This window comes from Homo sapiens, chromosome 7 (genome assembly GCF_000001405.40).
Source record: "Homo sapiens chromosome 7, GRCh38.p14 Primary Assembly".
Taxonomy (NCBI): domain Eukaryota; kingdom Metazoa; phylum Chordata; class Mammalia; order Primates; family Hominidae; genus Homo; species Homo sapiens.
In genome coordinates, this window is record NC_000007.14 from 107,297,465 (window position 1) to 107,314,299 (window position 16,835).

Sequence of the window (16,835 nt, forward strand, 5' to 3'; positions counted from 1 at the left end):
TTGAGACGGAGTATCATTTTGTCGCCCAGGCTGGAGTGCAGTGACGTGATCTCAGCTCACTGCTGCCTCCGTCTCCCGGGTTCAAGCGACTCTCCTGCCTCAGTCTCCCGAGTAGATGGGATTACAGGCGAGCGCCACCATGCCCAGCTAATCTTTGTATTTTTAGTAGAGACGGGGTTTTACCATGTTGATCAGGCTGGTCTCGAACTCCTGACCTAGTGATCCACTCTGCTTTTTGTTAACACATTGACTGAGAACCTATCCCAGCATAAGATTTATCTCCCCTGTAGTTTCTGAACACCCAAGTTCCTTTTATGTCACATTTATGCAAGTGGTCCATCAATAAATGATACTGTCTGAGGTAATTACAGGTATATTATAACATCGATTAAAATACAATGACCACAGCATGATCATCTTCTAGCTTCTCATCATCCTACTTAGTGTTACACTTTAAAATTGACTCCAGCAGGAGCCACAAGTGTTCAACTAAGGGTGAAAAATTGACTTATTCAGTTAAAAGTCTTGCAAAGTCTTTTAAGGTATACAAATAAACTACAAATATTTAGAGACTTGGTATATACTTAATTTATAATTTAAAATAAAAATAAAAGATAAAATTTAAAATAAAAATAAAATTAAGATGCCAACTAACAGGTCAAATTAAACAAACATACTCATAATCTGGCTTTTTTGGTATGAATATATCTTGTGCATCATCTTCCATGTGTTGTAGGTCAACATAGAGGTCTGTAGTTCCACTTGCATTAAAATTCCCTTGGATATGCTGACTGTATTGTTGAAGACGCTTCCATAAGTCATTATAAAGACGTAATAATTTAGGGTATTCTCCTTCAAATGCCTGCTTCAAAAACATCGAAGCTGCCAAGCAAAACAAGAACATGAATTAGAAAAATAATAAAATGTAGTAAATGTTTCTTTTGCATATGAAGATATGTTCCAAATAACCCATACTATAGGGCAAACCAAAGACGTGTTCTAATGAGGCCTTTTATAATAATGCTAATAATAATAATTTTCCACTCTGACTATTCACTGCATTTGATGTGCAGGTCATATTTTGAAACCTAATCTATATTTAAAAAAAATAGAAAAGCCCACAATTGTAGTTGAAGATTTCAATTCCCTTTTTCAAGAATCAAGAAAATAAGTACACAGAAAATCGGGACAGAAAACTGGACAGCGCTAACACCCAATTGACTTAATAATTTACATTCACACAATACTTCATGCAAAACAGCAAACACACATTCTTTTCAAGTGCACATGGAATATTTACCAAGATCAACAATATTTGGTTCCATTAAACCGGTCTCAATACATTGAAAAGGCTTCAAGCCATACAAAGCTTGTTCTCTAACCAAAATAGTTTTAGATTAGAAATCAGTAACAAAAAGATACCTGAAAAGAATCCTCAAATATTTGGAACTAGAAAATGCTTCTAAATAACCCATGGATCAAAAAAGAAATCAAAAGGGAAATGAGAAGTATTTTGAACTGAACGAAAATTTTAACGCAACATATCAAAATTTGTGGGATGTCACCAAAGGAGTACTTGGGGGAAATTTATGCAAATATTTACATTTGAAAAGAAGAAAAGTTTCAAATCAATGACCTAAACTTCCATTTTAAGAATATGGAAAAAGAAGAGCAAATAAAAACCAAAGTAAACAGAAGAAATAAAATAATAAAGCTCTGAGAACAGATATCAATGAACCAGAAAATGAAAACAAGAAATATTGAAACCAAAAACTGGTTCTTTGAAAAGATAAGTAAAATTGCCAAACTTCTAGCCAGATGGATTAGGAAAAAACAGTAGAAACAAATTACCCATATTAAGAATAACAGAGATGATCTCATTACATATTACAAAATATTCTGCAGATACTGAAAGGGTAATAAAGGAATTATGAACAACTTTATCTGAATAAATTTGAAAACTTTCATGAAATACACAATTTCCTTGAAAGAAACAAACTAACAAAGCTCACTCAAGAAGCAATAGATAGACTGAATAGCACTATACTTGTTGATTCTTTTAGTTAAAAATCTTTCCACAAAGAAAAACTTCAGGCTTAGATGACTTTAGTGGTGAATTTTATCAAGCAATTTAAGAAAGAAATAAAAGCAATTCTATACCAATTCCCAATTCATTCTGAGGCCAGCACTGCCCTGATATAAAAACCAGATACTAAAGAAAAATAAAAACTACAAAACAATATTCCTTATCAAGATAGGTGCAAGAATTATAACCAAAATGTCATCAAATCTAGTCAAACAATATATAAAAAGTATAATACATCATGACCAAGGAGATCTATGTCAGAAATTCATAGTTGGCATATATATATATATATATATATATATATATATCTGGAATTATCTGGAATATATATATATATATATATGGAATTACATATATATATAGTCCCACTATATTGCCCAGGCTGTTCTTTAACTCCTAGGCTCAAGCAATCTTCCTGTCTTGGCCTCCCAAAGTGTTGGGATTACAGACATGAGCCAACATACCTGGTCAGCTTAATGTCTGAAAATCAATCAATGTGATTCATATTTTAACAAACTTAAAAGAAAAAGCGTATGCTCCTTTCAATAGAGGAAGAAAAAGCATTTGAAAAAAATCTAACATTCACTCCTACTAAGAACTCTCAGTCAACTAGGAACAGAAAGGAACACACCCTTAACCTAATAAAAGGCATCTATGAAAAACTACAGCTAATATAATACTTAAGAGAATAAGTAATACTTTTGCTCAAAAATCAGCAACAAGACAACAATGTTAGTTTTCCCCACTTCTAATATCCTAGAGGTTCTGGCCAGTGCAATGAGGCCTAAGTAAATAAGTAAATAAATAAGACATTCAGACTGGAAAGGCACACAGTCTTTTTAGAAAGATAATATACAAGCATCTATATGGAAAATCTGATGGAATATGAGAAAAGCTACTAGAGTTAACATAATAACTGAATTTAGCAAAGTTGCAGGATACGATTAATGTGCAAAACTCAGTCATATGTCTGTATACTAGCAATGAACAATCAGAAGTTGAAATTTTAAAAGAATACAATTTAGAATAGCACTAAAAATATGAAATACATAGATATATCTGACAAAATGGGAAATAGCTGCACACTGAAAACTACAAAAACAATGCTGAGATGAAGAAGACCTATATAAATGGAAAGAGAGAATATTCACAGTTCCAAGATATTGTTAAATGTAAATTATCCCTAAATTAATCTATATATTAAATGTAATCTAATTTAAAATCAATGCAGGATTTCTTTTAGTAGAAATTGAAAAAATGATCCAAAAATCATATGAAAATGTAAAGAACCCAGAATAGTCAGGGCAACAAAAACAACAATGTTGGAGTACTAATACAACCTGATTTCAAGACATATAAAACTATAATAATTAATACACTAGTACTGGGGTAAAGACAGACACATAGATTAATGGTGCAGAATAGAGAGTACAAAAATAGACCCACACATATCTGACAGACTGAATTTTGACAAAGGTGCAAACACAATTTAGTAGACACAGGGTAGAGTTCAACAAATGATACTGTAACAATTGAATAGCTATATGCAAAAATACCCTCTTTAACCCACACTCTGTACCTTATACAAAAATTAACTCAAAAAAGATTAAATTTTCTAAAAGAAAACATCTGAGGGAACTTTTCTGTCCTTGAGTTAGACATGATATGAAACCAAGAGTATGGTCTGCAAAAGAAATTGATAAACTGGACAACATCTAAATTAAAAGTGTCTGCTCTTCAAAAAAAATACGGCTAAGAAAATGAAAATACACGCCCCAGAAAGGGAAAATCAATTTCACATATATCTGATGAAGCACTTTTATCTAAAACACATAAAGAACTCTCAAGTCTCCATAACAAGAAAATAGCCTAACTTCAAAAATGGGAACTTTATCAAAGAAGGTATATGAATGGCAAACAAACACATGAAAAAAATACTCAACCTCTTTAGTCAATAGGGAAATGCAAATTAAAACCACAATGAGATACAACTACATAACTGTTCAAATGACTAAAATTAAAAAGAGTGACCACACCACAGCCGAACACAGTGGCTTGTGTAGTGAATAGTACTTTGGGAGGCTGAGGTGGGTGGATCACCTGAGGTCGGGAGTTTGAGACTAGCCTGGCCAACATGGTGAAACTCCATCTCTACTAAAAATACAAAAATTAGCCAGGTGTGGTGGTGCACACCTGTAATTCCAGCTATTTGGGAGGCTGAGGCACGAAAATTGCTTGAATCCAGGAGGTGGAGGTTGCAGTAAGCCAAGATCGTGCCACTGCACTCCAGCCTGGGCAACATAGTGAGACTCTGCCTCAAAAAAAAAATGACCATATCAAATATTGGCAGGGATAAACAAACTAGAACTCTTGTATAGCTTGTGGAGATAAAAAATTGTATACTTATTTTGCAAAAGAATTTAGCATTTCATTAAAATGTTAACTATATACCTAACATATTGTTAAATAATTCTGCTTTTAGATATTTGTCCAATAAAAATAACAGTATATATCTATATAAGGAATTGTACCTGAACATTCACAGTATCTTTATTTGTAGTAGCAAAAACTGGAAACAATCCAATGTCCATCAACAGGCCAATGCATAAACAAACTAATATATCCATGCAATGGAATACTATGCAACAACAAAAACATACTACAATATAGCTGAATCTCAATAAAATCATGCTGCATGAAAGAAGCCAAACAAATAAGAATATATAATATATGCTAAATCATTCAATTTGTACAAAATTCTGGGAGCTACAAACTACCATATAGTAACAAAAAGCAGATCAGTGTTTGCCTGGGAATGGGGGAGGGAGATAGTGGAGACAGTAATTACAAAGCTGTACAAGGAAACTTTTGGCAGTGATGAATATGTTCACTGATTGATTATTGTGATGATTTCAGGGGTGTACTCATATGTCAAAACATATCAAATTGTATACTTTCAAGACGTGTTGTTTATTGTATGCCAGCTATACCTCAGTAAAGCTATTTAAGAGAAATTATCTCAGAGAAAACTTCTTTGGCCTCCCTCTTCCCTGATAAAGCAGCAATGCACCATGGGCCTCAAGTAACACTATATGTTCTTTCACGGCATGCCAATAATGCAAGGCCCTGGGTTTGCTCTTGTATTTGGCAAGAAATCTTGAGAGATATGGTAACATCATCCTGCAGACAGATAGCAGACTCATTTACTATTCACTACAAAAGTAGTAGTTTCTTCAAGCTGAAAGTTCCTTACCTGCCATGCAATCTCTGTACATGCACCATCCACATGGGCCCATGTCATATCACCCTATAATATTTGGAGGCATGTGAAACTAAAAAACAATATGCTAATGCTCATGATTCTTGCTGTGTTGTAATAAAGTTCTAAACATATTTGTTTGAAGTATGTTTCTCCTACTTGGCTGTTAACTCCATGAAGGCAAGGACAATGCCTTTTTTCTTCAAAGCACGTTTGGTACCTAGCACAGTGCCTTGTAATAGCAGAAGTAAATATTTCTTAAATAATAGAATGAAGTTTTTGGTTTTTTTTCTTTTTTTTCTTAGAGATGAGGTCTCACTTTGTTGCCCAGGCTGGTCTCAAATGATCCTCCCACCTCGGCCACCAAAGTGTTGAGATTACAGGTGTGAGCTATCATGCCCAGTTGAATATGTTTTTTCTTTTTAGGGGACAGTATCATTTTCACAAAAATCTTATCTATACAGAACAAATTACTACTGAGGGTTTAAGCCAAACTTTGTCTATATTATCTCAGCAAATGTGATTGATTAATTAACTGTAAGTTACTTAAGTCAATTATATTTAAAGCTTACAAACAAGTATTATATATTTAAATCTTGACACTAAGTTTTTTTGTTTGTTTGTTTTTTGTTTTTAGAGACAAGGTCTCAGTCTGTCACCCACGCTGGAGTACAGTGGCACAGTCACGGCTCACTGTAGCCTTGACCTCATGGGCTTAAGCAATCCTACCTCAGCCTCCCAAGTAGCTGGGACCATAGATATGCACCACTACACCCAGGTAATTTTATTTACTTTTTAATTTTTGTAGAGATGAGGTCTCCCTATGTTGCTCAAACTCCTAGGCTGGTCTCAAACTCCTAGGCTCAAGGAATCCTCCCACCTCAGTCTCCCAAAGCACTGGGATTACAGGAATGAGCCACCACACCCAGCCAAAGGTAAGTTCTACTGTAATTTATTTGATATGTAGTTATAAAGTGTTCATATTACCTATACAATTTTAATTATTTGATGAAAATTTATAGTACACCTACTGTACATTCTGATAATCAAATAATTTATACAAGGAAAATTACAGGTTAATTCCCAGTTACCTGGGAATGTATTATTCAGATTATTGCCTTGTGCAAACTTGTTTTTTTTAAATTAATCACTAGTGATTACAACACAGGCACAAATGTGGAAATTAAACTCACATTAAACAACCTAATTACTATTAAAACAATATTTTATAATTTAGAAGATAATTCTATGTATTGTACTCCTACCAGGTAATAATAGGTCTGGGGAAAAACCTCTGATTAAGAAAGTATGCCTTTGATTTTATTCCCCTATCTTTGTCTTCTTGAATTCACTGCAAAAAGAACCCCCACAGTTTCCAAAATGTGTAGGGACAGACCCATCCGAAACCTTGACCTAATTCACATGAAGATTAAAGGATATAAATAGTCTATGTGCTCAATTTCTCTCTTCCCATCTTCTCTATTCCAGTACCTTCTTTTATTTTCTTCCCTAGCCCTGAACACTGTAAGAAGTTACTAATTTGTATTGACTGTCCTTCCCCTTTAAAATGTGAGTTAAATGAAAGCAGGGTTATTATTTGTCTTATTTTCCTCTGTGTTTCTTTTACCTAGATTTAACACTTAGCATTCAATTACTGAATGAACAAATGAATTGAAAGTAGAATGAAAAGGGGGTCTAGGTTTGGAGTTATGTCATTTCCCCCTTGGAGTTATATCAGCCTTATCTTAATCTTCTTACTACCCCTACATCCCTGGTTTAAGGCTTCACAGGACAGCTCTAATGTATTCTTTATCCCAGAGTTGGAGCAATCTTAGGTCTTGTCTTAGTCTTGACTAGCTGTGCCTAAACCTCAGCCTGTATGACGCTGCTTCTCCTGCATCTCCCTATAAAAGGACCAAAGACCTCCTGTCTAGGAAACTGGCTGCGGTCTGGCCAAGAAAAGGCAGTACTCCTTAAAACTCTGCCAACCTTCAGATGCCCAAATACTGGGCAGTGCCAAATATACCTGGAAGGATTTAAGCATTCATCCATTCAACAAATATCTGCTGACCACTTACTACATGCCAAATACTGTTGTAAAAGCTGGATATGCAAGGGTAAACAAAATAAGCAAGTTCCTTTCCATATAGAGATTATACTCGAGTGAAGAAGGACAATAAACAAGTCATTATGTAACATAATGTCAGGAAGTGCTAAATGTCTTGAAGAAAAATAAAGCAAGGTTAGAGAAGAGACAGACAGGATGTGCTATTTTATGTACTTACCTGGGAGGACCTCTCTGAATGAAGCAAGGATATGCTCCATCTGGATATTCAGGGAAAGAGCAATTCAGATAGAAGAAACAGCAAATGCAAAGGACATGGAATAGATTATCCTAGTAGAGGCTGCTGGTCATATTTTAAGAGAACTGCCTGTTGTTTGGAGGATTTGGCCTGAAACAGTCAGCCTTCATAGCTTAATTAAGTGCCGCCTTTGTGAGCAGGCTGCTACCCATTTCTTGCTCATTCCTTTTCCTAACTGGCCCAGTTCTCAATCAACTGCCAGGCCTTCACCTATATCACCCAGATTATGAAAGCAAAGGAAGCCAGTAATCTATTGCCTTTAGGATGTCTTGAATGTTTTGTTTCATAAATGTACTAGTTATCTATTGTCATGTAACAACTTGCCATAAACATTAACTGCTTATTTTAAAAACATACATATATTATATCATAATTTCTTTGGGTTGGGAATCCTGGCATGGCTTAGTTTGGTCCTCTGCTTCAGGACCTCTCACAAGGCTGTCATCAAGGTATCAACCATGGGTGGAGTCTCATCTGAAGAGTCAACTGGGGAAGGATCTGCTTCCAAGCTCTTGTGGTTGTTAGCAGGATTCAGTTCCTTGTGAGCTGAGAGCCTCAGTTTCTAGCTTGCTGTTAGCTGGAAGCTGACCTTGGCTCTTGCCAAGTGGAATGGTATGACAGCTGCTTGTATCGTCAAAATGTGCAAGCAAAGAAGGCAATAGAGAGACCGCCTGAGAGCAAAATGGAGGTTAAAACCGTATGCAACCTAATCACAGGAGGGATACGCACTTTGTATGTACAAGTTAGAAGCAAGTTCTGCCTATATTTAAGAAGAAAAGATTACAAAAGTGTGCCAATACCAGTAGACAGATGTACTGAAGGCGATCTTAGAATCTTTCTGCCACAATAAAATATATCATATTTCATTCACATTAATGGGAATTATATAAAAGTCAAATACTAAGGGCCATACAGCAAACTTGCAAACACCTACTTTTCAAATACTTATATACTGTAAAGTATATTAATCCTTTCTAATACAAAACAATGACAAAACAAAATCAGTTTTACATAAAAAATATAATTGTCTAGAGTATTATTGGAAAAAAATGCCCAAATACACTAAAAATAGTTCAGACATACAATAAGAGTACCAGAACAAAACACAGCTAAGTCATTTGCCCCAAGTTAATGTTTTTCATCATTCTTTCTGCTTTAGCCACTGAAGTGGGTAATAATTTTTAGAAGCAAATAAACATTTATATGAACTAAAGCTAATTGTAAATAAATGTAATTTTCTTTAATTATAGTTCAGAAAAACTCAAGCCAGAATAGAAATAAAACAGACCTTTGTAAAACTCAGAGAAATCTCATTTAAGATTAACAGATATTAAAATGCAAGTCTTATATACAAAATATTAGGATGGAATGAATGAAAATATCTGTCTATAGCCCTAAGAGATTTCTCACATTTTGGTTTTCTATTGTTTCTCCTCCTCATAATGGCAGCAACACAAAGTTATGGAATCCAATACCAACTAGGTATGCATTCTGTACTGCAATCCCTTATTTTTTAACAGGGATATAAAGCATACACAATCTCTTCCAAACTTCTAACTCTGTAAGCCTCAATCCACTGGTGATAGGAAAATGGCCATCTTTCCTATCTCACAGAAAAACAAAGGCTTCTAGGAAAGAAACTCTTCAATTTTCTACCTTCTTCCCGTCTATTTCTAGTCTTCAACTTTGACAGGAACACACGTCCAAGACCTATTTCTCAATTTCTGTTCTCTGTTTCATCCCAACTCATCTCCTCCAAGATTATTTGTTTCTTTTGTATTTTTAGCACCTCACTTTCTACTGGCTTCCTCTTAGGATCAATAAAAGATGCCTGAACATGCTCTCTCATGATATAAAAAAGTACAAACAAGATGCCAACACACTCCGCCTTAACTCTATAAACTATTCATTTGCAGCCACTGTCCTGTTGCTCCTTGTAATAACAGTCTGCACACATTTGCTTGCCTCTTCCAGACTGCAGCCAGACTTTCAACTGCCACAACACCACTGAAATTATTCTGGTGAAAATCACGCTATCATTCCAATTGCCAACAACAGTGGGCGTTTTTCTGATCTCTCATTTGATTTCTGTTGATCACTCTCTCCTTTGAAAAATACTGTCCATGACCCCATTCTTTCCTGTATTTTCTACTTCTCTAAATTTTTCTTTATTCTTCTGTGCTGACTTCCTTCCTCTGCCTTAAGTGCTTTCCTTAAAATTCTGAAAACACTGTTTTTATAGGTTTCAAACATATAATGTAGAGAGAATAGTATAATGAACCTCTGTGTATCCATCACTTAGTTTCAGCATTTGTCAACTCTTGTTTTTATCTATATCCTGGCCAATGCCCCTCCATCACTACCAGTTATTTTGGAGCCAATATCATTCTATCATTTCACTCATAATCACAAGTATATCTAATAGTAGGAACTATTTTCTTTATATAGCCACAGGAGGTCATTATTCTAAGTGTAGTAACTCAGGAATGGAAAATCAAATATTGTATGTTCTCACTTATAAGTGGGAGCTAAGCTATATGAATGCAAAGACATAAGAATGATATAATGGACTTTAGGGACATGATGGGGGAGAAGGGTGGGAGTGGGGTGAGGAATAGAAGACTACATATTGGGTACACCCACTGCTTGGGTGATGGGTGTACAAAAATCTCTGAAATCACCACTAAAACACTTATCCATGTAACCAAAAACCACCTGAACCCTACAAATTATTGAAATAAAAATAAAAATTACACAAAAATACATAGCCACAGTTCTCTTATACTTTACAAAATTAACAATCAGTGGTGACATCTGCCTGATTGAGTTAGGAATTTTTTAATGCTTTGTTTGATTTAGGATCCATAAATAGTTCACCTATTATAACTAGTTGATATATCATCAACCTAATCTGTAGTTCTCTCATTTTATTCTTTTTCATTATTTGTCTAAGAAACTGGGACATTTGTCCTACAGAGTTTCCCATAGCCTAGATTTTGCAGATTCCATCCTCTGATCCTGTATTTCCTGTAAATCATCAGTTGAATCTAAAATAGTGTTTTTCACCTTGACTGCATCTTGAAATAACTGAGGAGCTTTTAAAATTCCTTATGTTTGGGTCTTACTCTTAGAGACTCTAATGTAATTACAGCCCAGGCTTTGGGATTTTTAAACACTGTCCAAGTGATTCTAAAGAGCAACCAAGTTGAAAACCACTGATATAGGTAAGAATTTGATCAGATTCCAGGTTTTATCATTTCTAACAGGACTACTGCATATGTAGTGACTGAATTTTCTGAAGTGTTTGCCTTTTTAAATAAAATTAGCAGCCACTAATAATCATCCTTAGGTCTGCTAATTCATTGAAGACTGCAAAATGAAGAGATTCCAACATTCATTCTGCATTTATTAGAGGCAATACTTAAATAAATAGAAATTTATCTCATGAATTATTTGGTTTCTCTGAGGTATCATTTGTTTAGGAAAGGCAGAAAAACATGTTTGATCGTGTTCCTTTTATTTACCAGTTTTCAAAGTTCCATACCATCATTAATGGTAACCAACCATTACCAATAAAAAAAGTATTTCTTTATTTGTATCACTATGAATGTATGGTGGATTTAGACAATCCCTTGCAATTGTTATCTTTATTGTATACTAAAATTATTCCATCTTTGGTAGATGGTCTATTCAAAGTGTTTTCTGAGCCCTTTCAATACAACCCCAGTAGTCTCTGATATCTCCTTGGCTTTCTAATGTAAAGGGTTACAGAATTATTCTATACATTTCCTGCCCCAGATCTGGAATCAGCCATTTCCTCATGGAATTATGGTTTTTTAAAATGGGAAATCATGTGGAAAGACCACAACATAAGTGATAAAGGGGTTCAGTACTACTGAATGACAATTATTTCTAGGGCTTTTCGGTGGTCAGAGCTATGAAATATATATAAATCAAATATTTTTTAAAGAAAAAAATACATCATCACTTCACTTTGATCTCATTCACTTTGCATCTTCATTCTCTCATGCTGAAAATGCTATCATATCAATATGATTATTCATTTACTTTATCCCACACTACACACACAACAGTCTGAAAATAACAAGTCTCCTTTAGCATGTAAGTCCATTTTTAAAAATAAAGATTATTTTGATTTTTACAGTTCGTTTTCTCTTCAGAGTTCCTTCAAATTAATAAAGACTTTAAATATTTAACACTTTAGGGATCCATCTCAACAGAATGTCTGTTATTTACTGAACACTGTGTTCTCTGATAGGACTATAGCATGGAACAGAGGTAGGCAGAAGCTTTTTGCAGAGCCCAGTGGGAGACACAGATAAGCTAGTAGGTGTAGTAGTAATGCTACCATCAATATCTTGATTACTGAAAAGAGTTCATGGGTTGTGGGGGCAGTTTTTGTTGTCCTTTAAGGGTATCCCAGTAGGAATACAAGAAACAAATTACTGAGTTTAAAAGTAAAGGCATCAAATAAGCAGAAAGTCAAATGAAAGAGTTGGCTTTGTGTGGTTGTGTCACACATCTACATTCACTTATTTAATTTTACTTTGTAATTTTAGGAATTTTTTCATTTTCATTTTGTTTTATAAATGTGTAAAATACTTATATGGCTTCAAACTTAAATCTACACAAAAAGTATATTCGTATATTCACAAAAGTCTAGCTTTTATCCCTGTTCCTGCCAATGTATTCTTCATACCCAACCCCCTCTCTCCCAAGGACTGGCAACCATTTTTCTGGATTTTATAGTTTATCCTTCAGTTTTTTAAAAATATAAGGAAAATGTATATTTATGTCACCTCTTTCTTAGGTAAACAAAAGTGTACTATACACATATTTAGCCATTGATTTTTAACTTAACAATCTTGACCTCTCCAAAGCAGTATGTAAAGATATTCCTCATTCCTTTTTTCCCCTCATTTCTTTTTATAGCTGCATGTGCCACTCTCCCAAACTATAGTTAATATCATGTGATTAACTTCCCCAGTGATACCAGTTAGACTTGGGATGTTTCCCCAGACAATCCAACACGAGCAAAGAAAAAGCTCGTTGTAGAAGCATATTAATATACCGATCACACAGTGCTACTTCATAAAGCCACAACCATGGCTCACCAGAAGTGGAATAAAAAGCTCATAAACTTTATAAAGATGTTTCACAGAATTTAAGCTGCCCACTTTGTGGGCAAATTAGAGAAGCAATGGCTTGCATTTTTTTTAAAATACATCAGTATTATTCTGCTAGTTCTATAAAAACAATGTAAACACAAGTGTTCTGTACAACTTGGGGAATTCACAAAATGCTAAAATAAAAATTAGTGCTGCAGTCGCTAATGGCAGATGCTACGGACACCCTTGAAGGGAGAAGAAACGATAAAGAACATGTGTGGAATACAACCCAAAAGGCTGGACAAATTTCTAAACCAGTTAGAGGACAGTTCTTAAAAACTAAAAACTGAAAACTGCTCGAAGACAAAAAACAAAAATGAAGTAGCTTCATTCAAACTATGCAGAAAAGCTAGTCATTAGGGAGCAGGTGCTAACACTAAGACATCCCAAAAGAAGAGGCAAGGGCATGCACCCAGTACACACACCCAGGACTGAGACAGCTGGATAACAAAGGCCTGTCAGCAATGGAAAGTTGTGGTATTTCCCTCAGTTTATCTTCAACAAAGATGCTCTACATTTCATTAATCTCGACTGGCATCAATAAAAGTTCTCAGCACATATGTAAAAAAAAAAAATCCATTCCATTCTATGGAATTCTATGGATTCAACATTCCGTTCTGTGGATTCAACATAGTTTGTTTAACTAATGTCACAATAATGAACATTTGGGTTGTGTGCAATTTTTGGTATTCCAAATAATCATGCAACAAATAGCCCGGCGAATGTCTGTTTAAATTTTTGCCAGTGCATCTATGCGATAGATCCTTAAAAGTAGAATTTCGGGGTAAATGAGTAGCTGCTTATATAATTTTGTTGAGAACTCACAAATGCCCCTCCATAAGGTTTGTATGCTAATTAACAATGTGTGAGACTGACTTTTCCTCACGGGCTTGCCAATAGAGTATGTTATCAAACTTTTTGATTTTTTGCTGATTTGATAGATGAGAAATAATGTCTCTCTGTACGTTCTGCATTTCTCTATTTATAAGTGATATCGAGCGTATTTACATTTTTTTTTTTTTTTTTTTTTTTTTTTTTTTTTTGAGACGGAGTCTCGCTCTGTCGCCCAGGCCAGACTGCGGACTGCAGTGGCGCAATCTCGGCTCACTGCAAGCTCCGCTTCCCGGGTTCACGCCATTCTCCTGCCTCAGCCTCCCGAGTAGCTGGGACTACAGGCGCCCGCCACCGCGCCCGGCTAATTTTTTGTATTTTTAGTAGAGACGGGGTTTCACCTTGTTAGCCAGGATGGTCTCGATCTCCTGACCTCATGATCCACCTGCCTCGGCCTCCCAAAGTGCTGGGATTACAGGCGTGAGCCACCGCGCCCGGCCACATTTTTTTCCCTATAGAGTTTTTGGCTTTTTAATTCCCATTTTAGAAGCTTTTTATATAATAGAGATACTAATGCCTTACCTTTAGTGTTAATTAAAAATTTTTTTTCTATTTTGTCATTTTTCCTTTTTTTTTGCTCAAGGTTTTTTTCCATGCAAAAAATTTTTTAACATAATCAAATCATCAAGGTTTTCATCATTGCTTCTGGATGTTGAATCAGAAAATTTTCCCCCGATTCCTAGCTTATTCTAGGCTTGAATGGTTTCATATTTCATATGTAATTGTTTGATCCACTTGGAATTTACCCTGACATACAGAGTAAACTGGGGATTTTTTTTTTCTGTGAACCCATCCTAGCTTCCCATCCTATAATAATCACCACTAATGCTCCTGCAACCATCTTTTCATGTCCCTGTTTATCATGTATAGATATTGTTGTTTGTTTTATAAAAGTATTTCATATTTGGGTCTCCTTTAGCTTATGTCTGTTTTTAAAAATTAAGATTATTTTGATTTTTACAGTTCGTTTTCTCTTCAGAGGTCCTTCAAATTAATAAAGACTTTAAATATTTAACACTTTAGGGATCCATCTCAACAGAACGTTATTTACTGAGCATTGTGTTCTCTGACAGGACTATAGCATGGAAAGAGGTAGGCAGAAGCTTTTTGCAGAGCCCAGTGGGAGACTCAGATAAGCTAGTAGATGAGCCATTATAATGCAGTGGGCTAAGTGCTGAAATCGGGTACATTAAGAATTTTGTGGGAACTGACAGAAGAGGTCTTGCTCATGTTTGGGTGGGCATGGGGAAAGAGGCGTCAGGGAACACTTCATTTCTACTCTGAGACTGAAAAGACAAGTATGAGTTACAGAGATGATGGGGAGGATATAGACACGTGTTTCAGGTATTTGTAAATGCTGAGGAGAAAGAGGGTGATTCATTCAACAATTCAGGCTTAAGTATGAGATAAAGACATAGAAAGAAAATTAATGAGTGCTGAGGAAATAGGAAGGGACCAGAAGAGTCATATTCGAATTGCATTTTGAGAGTAATGGAAGAAGAGTGGAGGCAGACCAGTTCACTTCTTGTAACAATTAAAGAAGGCTTATCTATTTAAAAAAATTCATGCTTGGCAGAAGCAGAGGACCTCGGCAGAAGAAGGGAAAAACTAACAAAGCTTTTAGGGGTTCACAGGACAGGAGTGAAAAATTAGAAACTGAAGGAATCTCAAACTGGATTTCCCATGGAACATTTGCTGAGTTCTGCGATTGTGAGGGAAGCCAGGGAATTAGGTGTAAATCTTCAAAAAGTGGAGTAGAAGTTTCTTCCCATTTGTGAGGCTTAGGAAACAAAAGACCAGCTGTGGGGAAAGGACGTGCCACAAACACAAGCAAGGTCTTATCCTGAAGACATTCACTAGGTCTAAAGTTTCATGAGGTGGGAAGTCTGTGAATCTTTGGACAGCAAAGCTAGATCAACCTCAGTATTTCAGGACAAAGACTCTCCAACTTCTCAATTAAAAGCTTGGGAGAAGCATGTCAAAGTAAAAGAGGAGAATGAAAGGCAAACTGAGTGTTTATTAAAACTGCACCTGCCCCACACCAACCCAATCCTAGAGTGAACTGAAATAATCAGCCTCTATATACACAACTGGAATGCCAGAGGAAGACAATACCGAATATTAACAAGCATGTGGAAAAACTAGAACTCTCATATACTGCCAAGGAGAGTTTAAATGAGTACCACCATGTTGGAAAACTCTCTGACAGTACCTAATAAGCTGAGAAAACAACTAATATGTATTTTCTTATAGTTTTGGAGGTCAGAAGTCTGAGATTGGTCTCACTGAGCCAAAATCAATGTGTCAGCAGTATAGTCATGTTCTTTCTGGAGGTTCTAGGGGGAATTCTGTCCCTGTCTTTTCCACTTGCCTGCATTCCTTGGTTTGTGGCCCCCCTTCAAGCAATTATATTACTCCTACCTCTGTTTCCATTATCACATATCCTCCTCTGAGTCCTGCTTTCCTCTTACTCTTAAAAGGACTATATGATTACACTGGGTCCACTCAGATGATCAGAGATTATCTTGATAATCTCTCTACCTTAAAATCCTTAACTCACATCCGCAAAATCCCTCTTGCTATGAAGGTAACATAATCACAGATTCTGGAGATTAGGCCATGGAACTCTTTGGAAGGACTATTATTCTGCCTATCAATTTTCCATTTTTGAGTTAATTTCCCAAAATTGCACAGAATTGTCATGGTACCATTATTTAAAGTAGCACAAAATGGGAAATCACCCAAATGCTCATCAATAATATGAAAGATAAACATATTATGGTATATTCACAGGATGGAATATTTTACCATTTTGAGAATGACTTACAAGTACATGCAGCAATATGGGGGACTTTTAGAAACATTTTGAGCAAGAGAAGTCACACAGGAGACACGAGCACAAACTAGATGATTTTATCTGTATAAAAGAAAAATAACAATTTTAAAAAATTCCATTAGAAATTAGTGGAAAAAATTCCATTAGAAATCTCTTGTTGAGAGGGGCTGGTAGAAACTAGAAGGGGACATGAAGGGAACATCTGGACTAC

At 35.5% G+C, this 16,835-nt stretch overlaps 1 protein-coding gene across 10 annotated transcripts in view; it reads right to left on the bottom strand.

Moving 5' to 3' along the window:
• COG5 (component of oligomeric golgi complex 5) overlaps positions 1–16,835 on the bottom strand; it is a 362,549-nt gene that overhangs the window by 96,093 nt on the left and 249,621 nt on the right. For all 10 annotated transcript variants that reach the window (NM_001379516.1, NM_001379515.1, NM_001379511.1 and 7 more), the window contains one exon: positions 678–882. In NM_001379516.1, coding sequence (NP_001366445.1) covers positions 678–882 — 205 coding nt within the window. The remainder of the gene's footprint in view (positions 1–677; positions 883–16,835) is intronic.